Source organism: Homo sapiens, chromosome 15, assembly GCF_000001405.40.
Source record: "Homo sapiens chromosome 15, GRCh38.p14 Primary Assembly".
Taxonomy (NCBI): domain Eukaryota; kingdom Metazoa; phylum Chordata; class Mammalia; order Primates; family Hominidae; genus Homo; species Homo sapiens.
In genome coordinates, this window is record NC_000015.10 from 64585800 (window position 1) to 64609676 (window position 23877).

At 42.7% G+C, this 23877-nt stretch overlaps 1 protein-coding gene, 1 long non-coding RNA gene and 1 pseudogene across 6 annotated transcripts in view, besides 3 other annotated features; 2 read left to right on the top strand and 1 right to left on the bottom strand.

Annotated features, from left to right (window-relative positions):
- The window catches only part of ZNF609 (zinc finger protein 609), a 226491-nt gene that overhangs the window by 126222 nt on the left and 76392 nt on the right, over nucleotides 1-23877 (top strand). The gene's annotated exons all lie outside the window — the stretch shown is intronic.
- LOC101930091 (uncharacterized) overlaps nucleotides 1-23877 on the bottom strand; it is a 92612-nt gene that overhangs the window by 43699 nt on the left and 25036 nt on the right. Inside the window, exon 4 of the long non-coding RNA XR_007064678.1 lies at nucleotides 13246-13333. This is a non-coding gene — a long non-coding RNA (uncharacterized LOC101930091). The remainder of the gene's footprint in view (nucleotides 1-13245; nucleotides 13334-23877) is intronic.
- Nucleotides 7156-7596, top strand: RPS26P50 (ribosomal protein S26 pseudogene 50; annotated as a pseudogene).
- Nucleotides 11182-11231: an enhancer, noted in NCBI's record as "active region_9574". NCBI's record gives its function as "activates an Ori minimal core promoter by ATAC-STARR-seq in GM12878 lymphoblastoid cells {active_cell/tissue: GM12878}" and the evidence as "EXISTENCE:reporter gene assay evidence [ECO:0000049][PMID:35858748]".
- Nucleotides 13557-13757: a silencer, noted in NCBI's record as "peak2369 fragment used in MPRA reporter construct". NCBI's record gives its function as "represses an SCP1 promoter by STARR-seq MPRAs in K562 erythroleukemia cells {active_cell/tissue: K562}" and the evidence as "EXISTENCE:reporter gene assay evidence [ECO:0000049][PMID:32103011]".
- Nucleotides 17835-18334: an enhancer, noted in NCBI's record as "H3K27ac hESC enhancer chr15:64895833-64896332 (GRCh37/hg19 assembly coordinates)". NCBI's record gives its function as "activates a minimal SCP1, AML or CMV promoter by ChIP-STARR-seq in naive H9 embryonic stem cells {active_cell/tissue: H9 hESC(naive)}" and the evidence as "EXISTENCE:reporter gene assay evidence [ECO:0000049][PMID:30033119]".

Here is a 23877-nt window from a genome sequence, read left to right on the forward strand (position 1 = left end):
CTGATTCTAAAGGATTCTGAAATATATTTTTTACTTTTTGTTTTTTTGTTTGGTTTTGTTTTTTGAGACAGAGTCTTCCTCTGTCGTTCAGACTGGAGTGCGGTGGCATGATCATGGCTCATTGCCACCTCCACTTTCCAAGCTTAGGTGATCTTCCCACCTCAGCCTCCCGAGTAGCAGGGACCACAGACATGTGACACCATACCTGGCTAATTGTTATTTTTGTAGAAATGGGATCTTGCCGGCCGGGTGCGGTGGCTCATGCCTGTAATCCCAGCACTTTGGGAGGCTGAGGAGGGCGGATCACCTGAGGTCAGGAGTTCGAGACCAGCCTAACCAACATGGAGAAACCCTGTCTCTACTAAAAATACAAAAAATTAGCCGGGCGTGGTGGCACGCACCTGTAGTCCCAGCTACTCGGGAGGCTGAGGCAGGAGAATTGCTTGAACCCGGGAGGCAGAGGTTGCGGTGAGCCGAGATCGCGCCATTGCACTCTAGCCTGGGCAACAAGAGTGAAACTCGGTCTCAAAAAAAAAAAAAAAAGAATAACTTGAGCTGATAATGAGTATCAGCAACATTTTCTACTGTGGCCTTGATAGCTGCAGACTGGTACTGGTCCATGGCCTGTTAGGAACCTGGTCGCACAGCAGGAGGTGAGCAGTGGCTGAGAAAGTATTAGCACCTGAGCTCTGCCTCCTGTCAGATCAGCATTAGATTCTCATAGGAGCGGGAACCCTATTGTGAACTGCACATGAGAGGGACCTAAGTCATGCGTTCCTTATGTGAATCTAATGAATGCCTGATGATCTGAGGTGGAACAGTTATAGCCCTGAACCATCCCCCGTCCCGCCAACCCCCCTCTGTCTGTGGAAAAATTGTCTTCCAGGAAACTGGGCCCTGGTGCCAAAAAGGTTGGGGACCACTGCTTTATAGGAATACTCGGTAGAATGATGATTATTACAGTATTGGAACAGAGTTAAAGACAGCAAAAATCTTGAGTTCAGTGAAACGAAATACTTCTCAAATTTATTAGACCCATCATATATGCTTTTTAATTAGTTGTCTCTAGTTTTAACCTTTCCCATATGTTTCATACAGAGAGACAGCTGTAATGTGGCAACCTGTGGCTCTTGTCTTTTATCTCCAGAATAGTGATGTTTTTCTTTAAGATAATAATTTCTTTTCTTTTAGCTTTTCTTCCTATAAGTTGTTATCTCTGCCTGTTGCTTTCTAGAAGAGGATCCAGAAGGAAAATGCTTTGCTGTTTAATCAATATTTTAGGAGAGGCTACTCTACAGAACAGGAAATGACATAATTTAACTCACAAGGATGGCGAAAACTAAAATAATTAGTTTATCTGTTTAGAGTATCTGAAGAAAATAGCAGCTCATTGTTCTCTAAAGTGGATCTTGCCACCCACCAGTTGTTGAAATCTCAGCCTTGTCTTTGTACATCTCAGTGTCGAAAGAGGTCGAGGAAAAAATCCTGTCTTTCCATCTTCCTTTATATAAGGAATGGTTATTGTTTAGATGAAACTGTATCTACCCTGACCGTGTCATATCTGTAGTACCTAGCAGCACAGTACCTATTAATTAGTAGTAGGGCTTCAGTACATTTTTTTTCATAAATCCTGAAGTAACTATTAAGTTCTGGGACAGTGGTTCAAAGGGCATAATAAAAAGGGATGAAACATCAAGTTTCTGGAAAATTGTGGTGTATTTGTGTATTTTCTTGCATTTGTGGCGAGACTAGTAAAAGTTAACCTAATTAGATTTTCAAAAGTGTTCATTGATTATACTCAAAAAACATTTATGGAGTACTTCCTGTGGTCAGGCACAGCACTAACCCCTGGTATAGAGTGTTGAAGGAGACCTTTAGGAGATGTGAAAGAGGGAATACCCTCCTTCATGAAACTTCCAGTTTATTCTGGTAGGGAAACACTATAAAAATAGCTCTTTTGCCTGAGATAAGTGTTACAAAGGAAAATTACTCCTGATTGTCTATGGATGTGGTGTCTCCAGGTTAATTTTTCTGAAAATGAGTGTGGATAGCAGAGTCTCTAAAGAAGTTATCAGGCCAGGCACTGTGGATCACTTGAGGCCAGGAGTTTGAAATGAGCTTGGCCAGCAGGGGTTTTTCCATGTTGGTCAGGCTGGTCTTGAACTCCCGAACTCAGGTGATCTGCCCGCCTCAGCCTCCCAAAGTGCTGAGATAACAGGCATGAGCCACTGCCCAGCCAGTAGGAGGATCTCTTAAGCCCGGGAAGTTGAGACTGCAGTGAGCTGCTGCGATCAAACCACTACACTCCAGCCTGGGCAGTGGAGTGAGACCTTAAAAAGAAGGGGAAGGCCGGGTGCGGTGGCTCACGCCTGTAATCCCAGCACTTTGGGAGGCCGAGGCGGGCGGATCACGAGGTCAGAAGATTGAGACCACGGTGAAACCCCCGTCTCTACTAAAAATACAAAAAAAAAAAACAAAAATTAGCCGGGCGTGGTGGCGGGCACCTGTAGTCCCAGCTACTTGGAGGCTGAGGCAGGAGAATGGCATGAACCCAGGAGGCGGAGCTTGCAGTGAGCCAAGATTGCCCTACTGCACTCCAGCCTGCGTAACAGAGCGACACTCTGTCTAAAAAAAAAAAAAAAAAAGAAGAGGAAGACTGTACAGACTACTAGAGATTATGGCAACCTCTTTCTCAATCTTGTTTTCTTGTTTTTTGTTTGTTATTTGTGGAGATGGTATCTCACTTTGTTGCCCACGCTGGTCTCAAACTCCTGGGCTCAGGTGGTCCTCCCACCTCAGCCTCCCATAGTGCTGGAATTACAGGCATGAACCACCATGCCTGGTCTGTAGTCTTTTTTTTTTTTTTTGAGATGGAGTTTCGCCCTTGTTGCCCAGGCTGGAATGCAATGGCAAATGGCAAACTCTGCCTCCAGGGTTCAAGCAATTCTCCTGCCTCAGCTTCCCAAGTAGCTGGGATTACAGGCATGTGTCACTACGTCTGGCTAATTTTGTATTTTTAATAGAGATGGGGTTTCACCATATTGGTCAGGCTGGTCTCGAACTCCTGACCTCGGGTTCGGGTTATCCACCTGCCTCAGCCTTCCAAAGTGGTGGGATTATAGGCATGAGCCACCATGCCTGTCTGTGGCCCTCAGTCTTAATAGTGCAACCAAGAAAATGTCTCAGCTACCCAAATAGGGGAGATGGTTTACACATCAGAATGTTATCTGGGGACTTTATCTCCTGAATTTGGTCCTGGGTTGCTCAAATGAACACTAGCTAGTTCCATTTTAGCTCTTCTGATGGAGCCCAGTGTAGACTGGTACAGGAATTGTGGAGGATGTCCCTGCCTTGTGTGGACATGTTCCAACCTGAAATAAGGGTGGTCTTGAGAAGCTAAAAAAGGAGAAGAACTCAACTGATTTTTTTAATTGATGGTTTAGTAGCCAACTTCTGACCTGTTCTTAGCCTGAAAAGACCTACTGATATCAGGCTAATCATAGTTCTGAGATAAAGGTCAGTGGATGAAGCCCTTTTTGGAGGATCCCTAGGGCACATTTAATAACAACAGAAACTTCAGCAGCAGCAGCAGCAGCATTTTATCAGACTATGTTCCAGGCAGCAATACCAAATGCTTCTTATATATTTCCTTTAATTATTGCAGTAGCTCTATGCAATACACACTAGCATAATTTTTATTTTACTAACAAGAAAATTGTGGCTTAAAGAAGTTAAATAACTTGCCTAAAGTTGCACAGCCAGTAGTGGAGGCTCTATTTAAAGCCAAGATGGCTATCTTCAAAGTCCATTTGTCGTAATCATTATCTCCTATTTATCTTCATCCCCTTTACTTCTATTTGAATAGTATTTCTTTCCTTATCTCATCTGTTCTTAACCAAGGCCCTCCTTTACTTCTTCCTAAAGTAGTCCACATCTGTGGAGCTTCTCAGGAATATACTTTTTTGTGAGATTTTTCTATAAGATTAAAATTATAAATTAAATGGCTAAAAATTTTTACATACTGTAAACAGACCCAGACAGTTAAAGAGATTATAGAGATTTGGCAGGAAAAACTCGATGCTTTTGGAAAGCTCTTGATAGTATTCACAGATAAGCGATAGTGAAAATTGAGACTAATGGATACTGGTAAAAAATTAGATGTGGTATGGTTGATCATACTTGTTGTGATTAAAGCTAAAACATTATTCAAGTTTGCTAGAAAGTTGAAGAGCTGAATTTGGGCTGGATGGAGAAGGTAAGAAAAAAACACACTGCACATGGTCCTCATTTATGAACTTAAATCTTTCCTGGCTGCCAACTACTTGCTGATTAGAAATCTGAACTCCCAACCTGTATACTAGGAAATCTAGCCTTTTATTGTCCTGGTTTAAGAAGGATTTAAATTGTGCTCAGTATTGAAGTTTTTGGGTCGGAACTATTTTAATATTATCTATGAATAAATATAAGGTCATACATATTAGTAGGGGAGAGAGCGTATGGGATAAATTGATCTCTCTCTCTCTTTTGCTCTTTATTTTGAGAGAGGGGTTCTTGCTCTGTTACCCAGGCTAGAGTGCAGTGGCATGATATCAGCTCACTGCAACCTCTGCTTCCTGGTTTCAAGTGATTCTACTGCCTCAGCTTCCTGAGTAGCTGGGATTAAAGGTGTGTGCCACCACACCCAGCTAATTTTTGTGTTAGTAGAGTTGGGGTTTTGCCATGTTAGCCAGGCTGGTCTTGAACTCCTGGCCTCAGATGATCCATCCACCTTGGCCTCCCAAAGTGCTGGAATTGCCCACGTGAGCCACCTGGCCTTCATATATAGAAAATATATATTTATTTTACATACACATAACACACACACACATATACATGCATATATATATATGTATATATATATGTATCTGGGTTTAGAGTAGTCATGTAACCCAGGAAAGGAATCCAGAAATCAATATAGACCTCCTTAAGATAAGAGCAGTAGCTTTCAATGTCAGTTTACAAGGTAATGGTTATACTAACCATAACCATTTTGTGTTTGTTGGCATTAAAAACAAACACAAAATGTTATCCCTTGAAGATAAAGACAAATAGGTTCAAAAGTAGAAAACTTTGTACATTTCTGATAATACCTTAAAAAGGTCCTGAGAAGAGTAAATAAACTACCCTGGAAATGTAGGCAATACCATAGAGTTTTCTTTAAGTTCCAGAAAGCCTGGAAGTTGGTTGAGTAGTATGTATCGAAAAGCCTTAAAGGCCGGGCATGCTCGTTTATGCATGTAATCCCAGCACTTTGGGAGGCTGAGCTTGGGAGGATTGCTTGAGCCCAGGAGTTCAAGACCAGCCTCCGAGGCCAAGTGCAGTGGCTCACGCCTGCAATCCCAGCATTTTGGGAGACCAAGGCTGGCGGATCATGAGGTCAAGAGATCGAGACCATCCTGGCCAACATGGTGAAACCCCGTATCTACTAAAAATACAAAAATTAGCTGAGTGTGGTGGCATGCACCTGTAGTCCCAGCTACTCAGGAGGCTGAGGCAGGAGAATCGCTTGAACCCAGGAGACAGAGGTTGCAGTGAGCCAAGATCGCGCCACTGCACTCCAGCCTGGGCGACAGAGACAGACTCTATCTCAAAAAACAAACAAACAAACAAACAAAAACAGCCTCCTCAACAAAGCGAGACCCTGTCTCTATAAAAAATGTTTTAAAAAAAGCCTCAAAATGTGCATACCCTTTTACTTGCTTATATGTAGGACTTCACCCTATGAAACTAGTGAAACAGGTGCAAAGATATTTCTCTCAGCCAGGCATGGTGGCTCATGCCTATAATCCCAGCACTTTGGGAGGCTGAGGTGGGTAGATCGCTTGAGCCCATGAGATTGAGAACAGCCTAGGCAACATGGTGAGGTCCTATCTCTACTAAAAATAATTTTTTTTTTTTTTTGAGACAGAGTCTTGGTCTGTCACTAGGCTGGAGTGCAGTGGCACGATCTCGACCTACCGTGCACCGGGTTCAAGTGATTCTCTTGCCTCAGCCTCCCAAGTAGCTGGGACGACCGGCACACACCACCACGCCCAGCTAATTTTTCTATTTTCAGTAGAGATGGGGTTTCACCATGTTGGCCAGGCTGGTCTCAAACTGACCTCAGGTGATCCGCCCGCCTTGGCCTCCCAAAGTGCTGGGATTGCGAGTGTCAGCCACCACACCCGGCCTTTTTTTAATCAGCTGGTGGAATGTGCCTGTGGTCTCAGCTACTTGGCAGACTGAGATAGATCACTGGATCACTGGAGCTCTGGGGGTCAAGGCTGTAGTGAGCCATGATTACATCACTGCACTCCAGCCTGTCAGCAGAGGGAAGACCCTGCCTCAAAGAAAAAAAAAAAAAAGATATTTCTCTCAGCCTTGTTTATACAAGTGAAAATTAGGACAACCTAAATATCCATCTATAGTTAATTGGTTAAATGAATCGTGGTTGGTTTGTTCAAAATAATTCTATTCAGCTGGGCATGGTGGCTCACGCCTATAATCCCAGCACTTTGGGAGGCCAAGGCAGTTGGATCACTTGGGGCCAGGAATTTGAGACCAGTCTGGCCAACTTGGTGAAACCCCATCTCTACTAAAAATATGAAAATTTAGCCAGCTCTGGTGGCAGGTGCCTGTAATCCTAGCTACTTGAGAGGCTAAGGCACGAGAATTGCTTCAACCCAGAAGGTGGAGGCTGCAGTGAGCTGGGATCTCGCCACTACACCCCAGCCTGCATGACAGAGTGAGACTGTCTCAAAAAAATAATAATGGTAATAATTCTGTTCAAGCATTTAAAATTATGTTTTAAGTTGGCCAGGCATGGTGGTTCACGAGGCCCGCAATCCCAGCATTCTGGGAGGCCAAAGCAGGCAGATCACCTGTGGTCAGGAGTTCAAGACCAGACTGGCCAACATGATGAAACCCCATTTCTACTTAAAAAAAAAAAAAAAAAAAATTAGCCCGGCATCTGAAATACCAGCTGCTTGGGAGGCTGAGGCAGGAGAATTGCTTGAATCTAGGAGGCAAAAGTTGCAGTGAGCTGGGATCGCGCCACTGCACCCCAGCCTGGGCAACAGAGCAAGACTCTTGTCTCAAAAAATTACATAAATAAATAAAATAAAAATAATGTTTTTGCTCTCTCCGGTCCGTGCCTCCAAGATGACAAAGAAAAGAAGGAACAATGGTCGTGCCAAAAAGGGCCGCGGCCACATGCAGCCTATTCGCTGCACTAACTGTGCCCGATGCGTGCCCAAAGACAAGGCCATTAAGAAATTCGTCATTCGAAACATAGTGGAGTCCGCAGCAGTCAGGGACATTTCTGAAGCGAGCGTCTTCGATGCCTATGTGCTTCCCAAGCTGTATGTGAAGCTGCATTACTGTGTGAGTTGTGCAATTCACAGCAAAGTAGTCAGGAATCGATCTCGTGAAGCCCGCAAGGACCGAACACCCCCACCCCGATTTAGACCTGCGGGTGCTGCCCCACGTCCCCCACCAAAGCCCATGTAAGGAGGTGAGTTCTTAAAGACTGAAGACAGGCTATTCTCTGGAGAAAAATAAAATGGAAATTGTACTTAAATAAATAAATAAAAATAATGTTTTAAGTTATAGCTAATTGACACAAAAATGTTCACGATGCAGTGAAATTCTGATAACCTTTCATAGTCTGAAAAATCTAGTTGTTCTAGGAGAAATAAGTCATCCAGAATGTTCTCTTGTTTGTTTTTGAGACAGGGTCTTGTTCTCTCGCCCAGGCTGGAGTGCAGTGGTGCAATCACAGCTCACTGCAACCTCCGCCTCCCAGACTCACGTAATCCTCCCACCTCAGCTTCCCCAGTAGCTGGGACTACTGGTGCGTGCCACCATACCTGGCTAATGTTTTATATATTTTTTGTAGGTACAGGGTTTCACCATGTTGCCCAGGCTGGTCTCAAACTCCTAGACTCAAGTGATCCACCTGCCTACAGTGCTGGGATTACAGGTGTAAGCCACTGTACCCAGCCATTCCAGAACATTCTGATGATTCAACCATAACTCATTTCATAGTATAATTGAGTGGATAAGAAGGGTTGGTGTTTGCTGTCTCGCCATATTAATAGTTTTGTGTTGGAACTCCTTGACTGTCAATCAAGTATTATGTTTGAGGAAGATGTAAACATTTAATACTTTTAAGATTAGGAGAGGTTTGAAGGGTTTTATGTCATGAACACACATATTAAGGAAGAAGCATGGCTCTGCCCTCTTGAAAGACTAAAGAAATATTCCATCAGCAGTTTACTTTAGAAGAACTGAAAGAATAGGTTGATACTGAACCCACTCCCAGAGCCAGGTAGCTGAAAGGGCACTGTGATTGTTATCTTACTAGGAACACGTGGAGTGGGAGTAAGGCAGTTTTCTGCAGAAAAGAGGGATTCTGGGCAGACAAAAACTACATATGCACTATGTTTTGTTTTGTTTTTTTTGTTTGTTTGTTTTAAATTAAAACCAGAAAAGGCGAAGACTTGGAGAATGCTCAAAATTTTTTTTTTTTTTTGACACGGGGTCTCACTCTGTCACCCAGGCTGGAGTGCAGTGGTGTGATCTCAGCTCACTGCAACCTCCACCTCCTGAGCTCAGGTGATCCTCTCACCTCAGCCACCTCAGTAGCTGGGACTACAGGCTCTTAACACCACATCTGGCTAATTTTTTTTTTGTATTGTTGGTAAAGACCGGGTTTCACCATGTTGCCCAGCCTGGTCTCTAACTCCTGAGCTCAAGCAGTCTGCCTGCCTCAGCCTCCCAAAGTGCTGGGATTACAGGCATGAGCCACTGCACCTGGTCACAAAATGTAAAGATTTTGAGGGCCATTGATTTTAAACTCCAGAAGCTGGTCCAATCAGAATGAACGTAAGGATTTTTGTTAGTGTGATTAGAAAAGAATGTGTCTCGGCCGGGCGCGGTGGCTCACGCCTGTAATCCCAGCACTTTGGGAGGCCAAGGCGGGTGGATCATGAGGTCAGGAGATCGAGACCATCCTGGCTAACAAGGTGAAACCTCGTCTCTACTAAAAATACAAAAAATTAGCCGGGCGCAGTGGCGGGTGCCTGTAGTCCCAGCTACTCGGGAGGCTGAGGCAGGAGAATGGCGTGAACCCGGGAAGTGGAGCTTACAGTCCGGCCTGGGCAACAGAGCGAGGCTCCGTCTCAAAAAAAAAAAAAAAGAAAAAAGAAAAGAATGTGTCTCTTTCTACTGGGTTTGGAGCTGTGAGTTTATAAAATTTGGGCCGGGCGCGGTGGCTCGTGCCTGTAATCTCAGTACTTTGGGAGGCTAAGACAGGTGGATCACCTGAGGTCAGGAGTTTGAGACCACCCTGGCCAACATGGTGAAACCCCGTCTCTACTAAAAATACCAAAAATTAGCCGGGCGTGGTGGTGGGCATCTGAAATGCCAGCTACTTGGGAGGCTGAGGCAGGAGAATCACTTGAACCCGGGAGGCAGAGGTTGCAGTAAGCTGAGATCATGCCACTGCACTCCAGCCTGGGCGACAGAGGAAGATTCCGTCTCAAAAAAAAAAAAAAAAAAATCGAAGTGCTACAGCCACCTTGCCACCTAGGAGGAGATCCTGGCTGACAATGCAGCTGTGCCAGAGAAAACACCAAGAGAGGGAGGGTTTGAAATTGGGCCCGAAGACATCATTTGAGCCCGTACATCAGGTCATGTGTGATATAGACTTTTTCAGTTACACGAGAGCCACTAAATTCTCTTTTTAAGTCAGGTTGGCAGTGGTTTTTCTATCATTTCTAGCTGAACAAGCCCTAATACAATATCCTTAGGGGTCATAACATCCAACTACCTCATGTCTTGAAGTTTGGAGAAGTGAAGTGACTTACTTAAGGTTATACAGATAAATGGTAAAAAACTGGGACTAAAACCTGGCCCCTTCCCACCTCCTTTGTAAGATAATTACTCCAATGTGTAAATCACTTTAAGGAGGTTTGGGGCAAAGTCTTAAATGGGTTTGAGGATGCCATTTAAGTAATGGAAATCAGTCCTGCTCTCATAGTAAGTGTCATTTGGAATGACAGTGACTGCTATTGACAGAAAACTGACCCCACCATCATAGCTCTTATTTTTCTCAGACTTTGGATAAGTGGGCTGTCCATAGTATCTTCATGATTGGTAGCTTAATAAATAAATTATTTGTGAAATCACTGGATAACATTTGGCTAGCTGTTTTAATGTTGCCCATTCCCTCAGCCTCTTGAGCTTCTAGAATCAGCAGACTTGTTTTTCCATGGTGTGTCTAGTAATATGAAATGAAATATGGACCTCAAATATATAAATATATGCCAAGCTCTTTCTTTTTTTCTTTTGGAGATGGAGTCTCGCTCTGTTGCCCCAGGCTAAAGTGCAGCGGCGCGATCTCAGCTCACTGCACCCTCTGCCTCTCAGGTTCAAGCACTTCTCCTGACTCAGTCTCCAGAGTAGCTGGGATTACAGGCATGCACCACCATGCCCGGCTAATTTTTTTGTATTTTTAGCAGAGATGGGGTTTCACCATATTGTCCAGGCTAGTCTCAAACTCCTGACCTTGTGATCTGGCCAACTCAGCCTCCCAAAGTGCTGAGATTACAGGCGTGAGCCACCGTGCTCTATGCCAAGCTCTTTCTTGCCTTAGGAGTTTGCATATGCTGTTCCCTCTGCCTATAGTGCTTATCCCTTGGCTCTTCACATGGATGGCTCCTTCTCATCTTTTGGGCCTCAGTTTAAATCCAGCCTTAGAGATGCCATCTCTGATTACCCAAGGTAGCTCCCTTCTCATTGTTCTCTTATCACATGACCTATTTGTCTCCTAATAGCAGTTTCTAATTTATATCTAATTTGTATTTACTTACCAGTCCCTTTCGTTTACCACCTATACTCAGTGTGTATAGCATAGGAGCCATACATAAGAAGTACTCAATAATTATTTGTTAAATGGTTGGGTTCTGTTATCCTAGGCTTGAAAAACATTAAAAAGCACTATTTGTACCCTTTCACCAACCCTGCCCCAAGTACCTTAATTGCCCTTACACCTCTACTGACTGAAAATACGGCACAAATCCTGAAGAGAAAGGGAAACTAAAAGCTGTACTTAACTGCTATGCTGATAGTTGTCTTAGGCAGTTTTGAATTAATATTTTATTATCTCTGTTCTTCAGCTTGTTGTGCCTTGTTTTTTCTCTTCTCTGTGACTTCTCACCTACCCACTTGACTCTGACCAGATTCCTGACACTTAAAGGGTATATCCAAGAAATGAGATGGCCCTGAGCACAGGGGAGGAAGGATGGAATGACAAGGGCCACCAGAAACCTCTTTCAGGACTCTAATCACTCTAAGGTCACAGTTTAGAGTCTAGAATGAGAGGGACTTTGAGTGCCTCTTTTTCTTGCTCAGTGCCCTCAGCTTGAGTGCTTAGCTGGCAGACGGGCACTTTTCCTCCTCAGTTACTGTCAAAGCAACATGAAGGTCAGGCAGAGAGAGACAAATGAGAGCAGCTCAGGGAAAGGAGGTTACCACGGTAACAAGCAGGAGGGACTGCTATTTGGAAACAGACCTAATCTTTCTCCTCCTTCTCCCTCCTTCTCAGCACAGGAAGATGGGTATTGTTTAGCTGACCTGCATCCTTGGGGTGGGAACCATAATCCCTTTCTGACAGTTCCCAATGACACTGGAGTGATCTGCTTTGCATTTTAATTTGATAAGCAGCAGCGGCAGTTTTCTCTGAAGTGCTGAAAACATGGCTTTTTCTGGCCCTGTTCCAGATAGGATTCTGGTTGCCACAGAGAGGGGTTTGATATTGTTGTTTATTTCTCAACAAAGATCTTGCATATTTGCATAAATGTGGAAGATGCTGCTTGGTTCTAGACAACCAGAATCAAATGAATACAGGCTATCTTTAGGTTATGAATATCTATCTGCTCTAGGAAGGTCACAGAGATACTGCCCCATCCCCAGCTCACAGGACCACCCAGTGACCTGTGCAGTGGATCTTCTGACTTAATGTCCTTACCCTTCTGCCTCCCCCATCTACTTATATGTCACACTATTCTCAATCTCTTCCCTTACCTACCCTACCCTTATAGTAAGCCTTCACTATGTATATAAATATTCCTTCCTTTTCTTTCAAAATAAAAAGAGCATTTTAAACTAGAAAAATAAATTATCAATGTAATGAAAAATTAAATGCCAAAAAACATAAGAGAAAGTAAAAATCATCTAGAATATTACTATAGACATGATGGCTAGAACATCCTTCCAGATCTAAACCTCTAATTCTATCTGCTTTGTTTTGTTTTGAGATAGTCTCGCTCTGTCACCCAGGCTGGAGTGCAGTGGCACGGTCTCAGCTCACTGCAAACTCTGCCTCCTGGGTTCAAGCGATTCTTGTGCCTCAGCCACCCAAATACCTGGGATTACAGGTATGCACCACCACGCCTGGCTAATTTTTTGTATTTTTGATAGAGACAGGTTTTCACCATGTTGTCCATGCTGGTCTCAGACTCCTGGCCTCAAGTGATCCACCTGCTTCAACCTCCAAAAGTGCTGGGACTACAGGCATGAGACACCACATCCAGCCTCTATCTGCTGATCTACGCATTTTATGAGTTGTATATACTTATGTATAGATCAGTTTATTTTTATTTATCTTTAATTTTTTAATTTTCTAACACTTCTCAAACAAAAAGTAGAGTTAAATTTAACATTAATGGGCCAATATAGTACATGCTCCATCATACTTTTTCCTTTAATTCACTAAAAAATATGTTGTAGATATGTCATTGATGTAGATAGGGATCTATGCTATGATGGACCTATAGATTGTTTCTGGTTTTGTGGTTATTTTTTGGTTTGGCTATTAAAAACAACATTGAAGAAAACTGTCCATCATACATCTTTGTGTGTGTATATATATATATATATATATATATATATATATATATATATATATCCTGTTATCTTCTTGATACAAATCCTAGAAATTGAATTTTGGGACAAAAGAACATGTGCATTTTATATTTTGATACATATTGCCAAACTGCCCTCTAGAGAAGGCACCAACCAATACTGCATAAAAGTCCCTATTGTTTTTACATACTCTTACCAACTGGGATATGTTCAACTCTCTCATCTTTGCCAAATAGATGGGAAATATACTGTGTTTTTATTTGTGTTTATGTATATTATTGAATCCTTAAAAATACTCACATGACCCCTTCAGATTTTACACTGAAGACCTATCTACTTCTTTTCCCATAATGTACTTCCAGGCTTCTCTTTCCTGTAGTGCTGGCAACTGAGCAAAGTAAAAAAAAAAGTTATTTTGTGGTGGTTTTTTTTTTTTTTTTTTTTTTTTTTTTGGTTTTTGAGAAGATATCAAACAAAAAAGTAAAAAATTTTAAAAACACCTAATTGCATTAATCTCTGCACCCTCCCTCCAAACCAAAACCAAACCTGTTTTTTTTCTTTTTCTTTCAGTGATGGACTGTCATTCACTCAGATTTAAGCTCCAAAGACTGAGATGTTTGTCTGTTTGTTCATAGCTGTATTCTCAGTGCCTAGACTGGTGCCTGGCATGTATCAGTTGCTCAGTAAATATTTGTGCAGTAAATCATCTCTCAGCCATCTTAATCAGAAATTCTAATCATACCTAATTCCTTTACTGATTACCTACATGTCTGATGCCTTGCAAAGTCAAATTGCTTAAAGGTCCTGAATGTCTCTTGGGTTCTTCCCTTTATCCCCCTACTTCTGATCATTCTTACTTATGTTTTTATTCCTAGGAGCCCTCCTTTTCAATCTCTCTAGTTTACTCCCCTCCTTCTATTAATTTTACCTTTGGATATACAGATACAATAACATCATACCCTTTCTTTCATTCCTCAGTGGCTTCTTAATACCTGCAAGGTTAAGTCCCAATTTAACTCTCCCTGTACTCTTTAACCAAACCAAGCAGCTTGTTGTTCTTTAAATACATTGTGTTTGTTCATGCCTGTGTGCCTTTGAAGAGGCTGTTCCTTCTGCCTGGAATATGCTTTCTTCTTTTCTTGGGAAACTACTACTTATTCTTTAGGTCCACTCCAGCATTGAGTCATCCCTATTCCCTCTGGCAGTTATTCCCTGGGCAGGATACTTGCAGTCCTTTGTTCACTTCTGTTATGATTATTTGTTTGCCAATTAATCTAATCTAAAATGAAACTTCGTGGCCAGGCACGGTGGCTCATGCCTGTGGTCCCAACAGTTTGGGAGGCCAAGGTGGGCAGATAAGTCCAGGAGTTCAAGACGAGCCTGGCCAACACAGCGAAACCCCATCTCTAAAAAATAGAAAAATTAGCCAGGTGAGGTGGCTCACGCCTATAATCCCAGCACTTTGGGAGGCCAAGGCTGGCGGATCACGAGGTCAGGAGATCGAGACCATCCTGGCTAACACGGTGAAACCCTGTCTCTACTAAAAATACAAAAAATTAGCTGAGCATGGTGGCGGGCACCTGTAGTCCCAGCTACTCAGGAGGCTGAGGCAGGAGAATGGCATGAACCCTGGAGTCGGAGGTTGCAGTGAGCAGAGAATGCGCCACTGCACTCCAGCCTGGGCGACAGTGCGAGGCTGTGTCTCAAAAAAAAAAAAAAAAAGAAAAAAAAAAACAGAAAAATTAGCCAGGTGTGGTGGCAGCACGCCTGTAGTCCCAGCTCCTCGAAGGCTGAGGCACAAGAATCACTTAAACCCGGGAGGCAGAGTTTGCAGTGAGCCAAGATTGTGCCACTGTACCCCAGCTTGGGTAACAGAGCAAGATCCCATCTCTGAAAGAAAGAAAGAAAGCAGGGATGGCGGGGGTGGGGGCGGGAGAAGAGGGAGGGAGGGAGGGAGGAAGGAAGAAAGGAAGGGAAAGAAAGAAAAAAAAGAAAAATTAATGGCCTCTCTTAATTTTTATAAGCTCTATATGTTAAGTATGTTCTACAAAATTCTAAATTTATATAGTCTTTGTTATTTGGTATTTTGGGTTTTGTTGGTCTGTTTTAGAAGAGGTTTGCTCTAGGGAGTTGTTGTAGAGCGAAATTTAGTTTATCAAGGCTTGACTGCTTTATGATTTCAGTTCTGCTTCAGAGTATATTTGTACTGAAAAATCAGAGCCATTTTATGATGCAACTTATGCAGTTCAGCCATCACCTTCTCCCATTTGTTCCCCACACTGCAAATCTCTGAGTCCTCTGTGTTATGCCTCTTCCTTACCCAACAGGTTGCCAAGTCCTGTGATTTGGCCCTCTTGTTCCTGATGCCACCACTCTAGTTGAACATTGCCATTAATTTTTTATGTAAAATAATTTTATTTTACAATAAAGCCCTTTCTTCCCATGAAACCTAGAGCATAAAGTGGGAGGAGAGCAGTGATGGACGATGAGGCTGAGGAAGGAGACAAATAAATTGTTATTGCATTTACTGAGCATGAACTGAAGTGGACAGTATGCTAAGTGGTCTACGGGTCTCATCTCTTCTATTCCTAACAGCCAGGTAAGATAGTTAAATCCCCATCTTACAGATGATGACACACTCATGTGGAAAGTTTAAATCACTTGAGGAAGGTAATAGAGCTAATGAGGGTAGAACTAAGACTCATACCTAAGGATTTACCAAAATTAATGTGCAAATCAAGATCTAAAAATAAATAAAATTATTGAACAACCTTTCATTGTCCTTTTTACAAAAGATGAATGTGCTTAAGCAGAGGACTACTAAATAATAAGTACCCTCTTTTCTGTCTGACATAGCACCTTGAGTTTTATTGAGCTCAAACATTTAAGTCCAAATTAATCATATTTGAGAAGAATTTTCACACAGTGATCCTATTGTCTAGAGTATTCTGCTAAATGGGAGCATACCAGAAGACTACAGATAGGCAAACGTTCAAATTTTCAAAATTGCAGACCATACGTGGTGCTTAACAGTGATCTTCAGCAAAATCCTAGAACAGGATATAAACAAATCACTTGTGAACTACTTGTTCTCTCCTTCCTTGGCCTTCTAAGCTTCTTTGCAGTAGCATAGTATAGTGGAAAAGAGAATAAGCTTCAAAGTCAGACATACATTGGTTCAAATCCTGACCCTGTCACTTAATAACTAGGTAATTGCAGGCAAGTCAGTTAACCTTCCTGCAGCTCTGTTTATTTTCTATCAAAAAAGCTATCATTTACTTCAAAGGAGTGTTATGAGATTTAATAAGATAACATGTAGAACTCCTGGCACACAGTAGGCATACAATAAATTCTAATTATCTTCCCTTCATCTCATCATGCTTTCCTTTACCCAGTACAGTTTAGCTTTTGGGCCCTACTTTTTTCTGCAACTAGAACTTCTTGCTAAGTTTATTTAACACTAGCCCATTTTCTTCTTTAAACTTCATTTCCCCTTGACTTCTTATGACAGTGTTCAGTTTTGGTTCTTAATTCTTTAGTACTGTATGGGTTCTGGCACCAAATTGTCTGAGCCTGAATCCCAGTGTCATCACTTAGTAGTAACCTTGGCTAGGTTAGTTATCTAGCCCCTCTAGCCTTGATAATTCATCTTTAAAAGCAGGTTACTAGTAGTAATTACCCCAGAGGGTAGTTTTAAGGAATAAGTGAAATGCACATAAAATGCTTTGAAAAGTGCTGGGACACACACAGGAAGCAATAAATTAAAGTTTGCTTTTATCGTTATGATGATTATTATTTTCAGACTTCTTTGTGGTCTTTTCTTCCTGGATTTACTCATTTAAATGTTGATGTTCCTTGGGTTCTCTCAGATTGCCTTCTTTTTTCTCTCCAGTCTCTTCAGGCTGTCTTACCCAGCAAGCTCATGACTCATGACTTCTATTAACTACTGCCCTGACTTTTCTTTTTTCTTTCTTTTTTTTTTTTTTTTTTTTTTTTGAGACGGAGTCTTGCTCTGTCACCCAGGCTGGAGTGCAGTGGCGTGATCTCGGCTCACTGCAAGCTCTGCCTCCTGGGTTCACGCCATTCTCCTGACTCAGCCTCCCGAGTAGCTGGGACTACAGGTGCCTGCCACCACTCTGGGCTAATTTTTTTTTTTTTTTTTTTTTTTTTTTTTGTATTTTTAGTAGAGACGGGGTTTCACTGTGTTAGCCAGGATGGTCTCGATCTCCTGACCTTGTGATCTGCCCACCTTGGTCTCCCAAAGTGCTGGGATTACAGGCGTGAGCTGCCGTGCCCGGCACTGCCCTGACTTTTCTTCTGAGTTCCCATCCTTTGCATCCAGTTGCCTATTTAAAACTCATACCTAAAGTTGAACTTGCTTTCTCGCTTTTATTCCACCAATAATTTGCCATTGTTGCTGTTGCTACTGTTGTGTTCTTGCATCTCCTGAGATAATGGCGTCAGAAATCTTGAAGTCAGCCCAGATTTTTCTTACCTCCTTGACTTGAGTCAGTCACTGAGTCCTATTTTTTTTTTTTTTTTTGAGATAGAGTCTTGCTCTTGTCACCCAGGCTGGAGTGCAGTGGCATGATCTTGGCTCACTGCAACCTCCACCTCCCAGGTTCAAGCAATTCTTCTGCCTCAGCCCCCAGAAGTAGCTGGGATTACAGGCTCCCACCACACCTGGCTAATTTTTATATTTTTAGTAGAGATTGGGTTTCTCCATGTCGCCCAGGCTAGTCTCAAACTCCTGACCTCAGGTGATCTGCCTGCTTCGGCCTCCCAAAGTACTGGGATTACAGGCGTGAGCCACTGCACCTGGCCCACAGTGCCTTTCTTTATCATGACAAGTAATCTCCCACCACTCCCTCCAACCCCTTTATGCCAAACTATTGTGGCCTCTATTGCACCTGACTAAAATAATCAACTCTTTTCTTGTTCCTCTGTTGAATTTATCCCTTAAGATTTAGCTGAGGCGGAGCGTGGTGGCTCACGCCTGTAATCCCAGCACTTTGGGAGGCCGAGGCAGGTGGATCATGAGGTCGGGAGTTTGAGACCAGCCTGGCCAAGATGGTGAAACCCATCTTTACTAAAAATAAAAAAAAATAGCCAGGCATGCTGGCGGGCACCTGTAATCCCAGCTACTCGGGAGGCTGAGACAGAGAATTGCTTGAACCCGGGAGGTAAAGGTTGCAGTAAGCCGAGATCACACCACTACAGTCCAGCCTGGGAGACAGAGTGAGACTCCGTCTCAAAAAAAAAAAAAAAAAAAAAAAGATTAGGCTGAAATGTCACCTGCCTCTCCCCCAGGTAGACACAAATGATTCTGCTCCTTTTATACTTACCTCTTTTGCATTCTTTATGACATTACTTTAATTACTTGTTCACATTTGTTTACCTCACCCAACCTTGGGACAGGGATCATATTATATTTCTAACTTAGTATAGTATAATGGTTACACCATAGTAAGTATTTAATGTCGCTGAAAGGAATCCAGAAAAAGAATGCTTACTAGGAACCAAATTAAGTTCTAAAGCAAGGCTTGCTAAACTACTTCCTCTCTCTCCCCTTTTTCCCCCAATAGAGTTGTTAGGTGGGTAGATTGGAGTGCCTTGATTTCTTCAAGGTATTTGAAAAAGCCTTTTATGATATTCTTGATGACATGTTGATGAAATGTGGACTGGATAGTGATACAGTTGGGTGATTTTATAGCTGACTGAAGAGCTATATTTAAAGATTATAGATGACTAGATGTTTGTCAGCTAGGATAGAGGTGGTATACCACAGGACTCTTGCCTTTGGTCCATTCTTGTTCAGCATTTGTATTATAACATCAGTGACTAAATAAAATGTATGCATATAAATTTGTGGGTAATGTAGTGGTCAGGACTTTTTCAGTTATGATAGAAATCTGGCTCAAGCTAGTTTAAGCAAACAAAGAATTTATAGATTCCCAGGAATGGAGTTTATTAGTTTAGGCAGGGTTTCAAATAATCCCATCAGGATTCTGTCTTTGCTTACCTCCATTCTGCTTTCCCCTAATTTGGCTTTATTTAATTTAATTTATTTAGTTATTTATTCATTTATTTATTTATTTATTTTTTGAGATGGAGTCTCGCTCTATCGCCCAGGCTGGAGTGCAGTGGCATGATCTTGGCTCACTGCAAACTCCACCTCCCACCTTCACGCCATTCTCCTGCCTCAGCCTCCTGAGTAGCTGGGATTCCAGGTGCCCGCCACCACGCCCGGCTAATTTTTTGTATTTTCAGTAGAGACAGGGTTTCACTGTGTTAGCCAGGATGGTCTTGATCTCCTGACCTCGTGATCCGCCCACCTCAGCCTACCAAAGTGCTGGGATTACAGGCATAAGCCACCGTGCCCGGCCTAATTTGGCTTTATTCTTAGGGAAGTTTTCTTTGTGAGTCTGGCAAAATGGCCTCTCGCAGCTTCAGATTTTATTAGTCCTTCTAGCTTAAGGTACCAAAGGAAGAAAGAAACAGTATAACCTGTATATAACCTGTTTCATGTAGTTTTGGTAGATCTGCCCACTCCTATACTGCAGTGAGGTGAAGGAATGTATTTCCCAAAGGTAATAGAGATTCCCCTGCTAGAAGAAGGGAGGGAAAGCATGATAAAAAGCCATAACTGTATCTCCATGAACCACTACAGGTGGTTATCTCAAGCCTGGAAATCTGAATAGAGATTAACAATGTTGCAAGACACTAGAAAGGTGGAGTTAAGTTAACAAGATACTACCATTACCATTATTATTGTCTAATATTTTTTGAACTTTTACTGTATATAGCTAGGCACTGTACACTGAACACTTTACATTCAGTTAATCATTACAATGACCTTATGAAATATAGGTAACTTTGATGGTTTTATTTTGCAGAAGAGGAAACTGAGGCTCAGAAAGATTGCATAATGTTATTAGTGGTTAACCAGCTGTTAAATAATAGAGCTGAGATTTTTTTTTCTTTTTCTTTCTTTTTTTTTTTTTTTTGAGACGGAGTCTCGCTCTGTCGCCCAGGCTTGAGTGCAGTGGCGCGATCTCGGCTCACTGCAACCTCCGACTCCCAGGTTCAAGCGATTCTCCTGCCTCAGTCTCCTGGATAGCTGGGATTACAGGCGCCTGCCACCACGCCCGGCTAATCTTTTTTTTTTTTTTTTTTTTTTTTTTGTATTTTTAGTAGAGACGGGGTTTCACTGTATTAGCCAGGATGGTCTCGATCTCCTGACCTCGTGATCCACCCGCCTCGGCCTCCCAAAGTGCTGGGATTACAGGTGTGAGCCACCGCGCCTGGCCTTAGAGCTGAGATTTCAACCAGTCTGTCTTTTAGCAGGATTAGCATTTTAAATGTATTTATTTATATATTTATTTTGGGGATAGAGTCTCACTCTGTCACCCAGGCTGGAGTGCAGTGGCACAGTCATGGCTCACTGCAGCCTCAACCTCCTGGGCTCAAGCAGTCCTCCTGCCTCAGCCTTACGGGTCTGCAAGGACCCGCCACCATGCCTGGCTAATGTTAAAACTTTCTGTAGGCCGGGCGCGGTGGCTCATGCCTGTAATCTCAGCACTTTGGGAGGCTGAGGCAAGCGCAGGAGTTCAAGATCATTTTGGCCAACATGGTGAAACCCCGTCTCTACTAAAAATACAAAAATTTAGTTGGGCATAGTAGCAGGCGCCTGTAATCCCAGCTACTTGGGAGGCTGAGGCACAAGAATCGCTTGAACCGGGAGGCAGAGGTTGCAGTGAGCCGAGACCATGCCACTGCACTCCAGCCTGGGCAACAGAGCAAGACTCCATCTCAAAAAAAAAAAAAAAAAAACAGAAAAACTTTTTATAGAAACAGGATCTCACTGTGTTCCCCAGGCTAGCCTCAAATTCCTGAGTTCAAGCAGTCCTCCAACCTTGGCCTACCAAAGAGCTGGGATTATAGGCATGAGCTACCACTTCTGCCAAGATCAGCATTTATAGTTTAAAACGGTTACATCAGTAATACCAGCACTTTGGGAGGCCGAGGCAGGAGGATCACCTGAGGTCAGGAGTTCGAGATCAGTCTGGCCAACATGGTGAAACCCTGTCTCCAAATACAAAAATTAGCCAGGCATGGGCTGGGCGTGGTGGCTCATGCCTGTAATCCCAGCACTTTGGGAGGCCGAGGCTGGCGGATCACCCTGAGGTTGGGAGTTTGAGACCAGCCTGATCAACATGGAGAAACCCCGTCTCTATTAGAAATACAAAATTAGCCAGGCGTGGTGGCACATGCCTGTAATCCCAGCTACTCGGGAGGCTGAGGCAGGAGAATCGCTTGAACTCGGGAGGCGGAGGTTGCAGTAAGCTGAGATCGCGCCACTGCACTTCAGCCTGGGCAATAAGAGTGACACTCCATAAAAAAAATAAATAAATAAAGTAAAAAATAAATAAATAAAGTAAAAAAAATAAATAAATAATAGAACTATCATTTACTGAATTTATTGGTGTCATATCAAGGAATAATATCCACAGTTATCTGAAAAGGCTATTAAATACAAACATTATATACATTATCTGTAAAACAACACACACATATACATATATCTGTACCATATATATTCTATGTAAGGCTGATTTTCTTTGTATACTTGAACCAAAACATTTCACCAACAGATTGAATGGAGAATCCAGCTGTCTTCTATTAAACCAGACATTGAAAATAATATGTTAATATTTAACAGGTTTTTTAATGTTATTTTAACTAACTTAAGGCATACTTTTTTTTTTTTTTTTTTTGGAGACAGAATCTCACTGTGTTGCCCAGGCTGGGGTGCAGTGGCGCGATCTTGGCTCACTGCAACCTCCGCCTCCCAGGTTCAAGTGATTCTGTTGCTTCAGCCTCCCGAGTAGCTGGAATTACAGGCATCTGCCACCACACCTGGCTAATTTTTGTATTTTTAGTACTGACGGGGTCTCACCATGTTGGCCAGGCTGGTCTTGAACTCCTGAACTTAGGTGATCCACCCTCCTTGGCCCCCCAAAGTGCTGGGATTACAGGCGTCATCTACTGCACCTGGCCTTAAATGTTTTCTTCTTTCTTTCTTTCTTTCTTTCTTTCTTTCTTTCTTTCTTTCTTTCTTTCTTTCTTTCTTTCTTCTTTCTTTTCTTTCTTTTTTTTTTTTTTTTTTTTTGAGACAGAGTCTCACTCTGTTGCCCGGGCTAGAGTAGGGTGGCAGGATCTCGGCTCACTGCAACCCCCTCCTCCTGGATTCAAGCAATTCTCCTGCCTCAGCTTCCTGAGTAGCTGGGATTACAGGCATGCGCCAACATGCCCGGCTAATTTTTGTATTTTTAGAAGAGATGGGTTCACCATGTTGGTCAGGCTAGTCTCGAACTCCTGACCTCAGGCAATCCGCCCGCCTTGGCCTCCCAAAGTGCTAGGATTACAAGCCTGAGCCACCATGCCCAGCCAAATTATTTCTTATTTTAATTCTAGTCTGGTAAACATCAGTCAATTTATCCCACATAAATAAAAGTTCTTTGGGGTTCTTAACTTTTTTAAAATCTTTTTGTTTTAATATAATTGTATTTGTAATACAGTACTCTCATGTACCATGTACCCTTTTCCTAGGTTTCCCCAATGATAATATCTTGCAGAACTCTAGCACAATATTGCAACTGGGATGGTAATATTGATGCATTCACCTATTGTGTTCAGATTTCCCCCATTTACTCGTACTCATTTGTGTGTTTTTCTGGGTGTGTGTAGTTCCATACAGTTTTGTCCCATGTATAAGTTCATGTATCCACCACCCAGTCAAGATACAGAACAGTTACATCACCACATCACCAAAAAGATCTCTTGTGTTGACTATTTACAACTACATTTACCTTTCTTCCACCTTCCCCTGCCCACCCCTAATCCCTGGCAGCTGCCAATCTGTTCTCTTTGTCTCTAATTTTATTTCAAAATTGTTATATGTGTGTATGCATGCATGCGTGTGTGTGTGTGTGTGTGTGTGTATTTTTTTGATACAGCATCTCACTTTGTCCCCCAAGCTGGAATGCAGTGGCATGATCATGGCTTACTGCAGCCTCAACCTCCTGGGCCCAAGCGATCCTCCCACCTCAGCCTCCTAAGTAGCTGGGACAACAGGCATGTGCAACCATGCCCAGCTAATTTTTTTTATTTTTAAAGATGGGGTCTTCCTATGTTGCCCCTGCAGATCTGGAAATCCTGGGCTAAAGCATTCTACCCACCTCAGGCTCCCAAAGTGCTGAGATGATAGGCGTGAGTTACCACACCCAGCCCTGTTACTTGCATGTTTTAGTTTTAATTTTTCTTTCTTTCTTTCTTTCTTTCTTTCTTTCTTTCTTTCTTTCTTTCTTTCTTTCTTTCTTTCTTTTTTTCTTTCTTTTTTTTCTCTCTCTCTCTTTCTTTCTTTCTGTCTGTCTGTCTTTCTTGTCCTTTCTTTTACTTTCTTTCTTATCACTCTGTCGCCCAGGCTGGAGTGCAGTGGTGCAGTCTCGGCTCACTGCAACCTCTGCTTCCTGGGTTCAAGCAATTGTCATGCCTCAGCCTCTCGAATATCTAAGAGGCTAATTTTTGTTTTTGTTTGTTTGTTTGTTTGTTTTTTAGTAGAGATGGGGTTTCACCTTGTTAGCCAGGATGGTCTTGATCTCCTGACCTCATGATCCACCCTCCTCGGCCTCTCAAAGTGCTGGGATTACAGGCATGAGCCACCGCGCCCGGCCGTATTTTTTTATAGAGACGGGGTTTCATCATGTTGTCCAGGCTGGTCTTGAACTCCTGACCTCAGGTGATCCACCCGCCTTGGGCTCCCAAAGTGCTGGGATTACAGGCGTGAGCCACGGTGCATGGCCTCATTTTAATTTCTAATATGTTAAATATCAAGGGATATAGCCTACCTAAACCAAGGCTCTTTAAGGT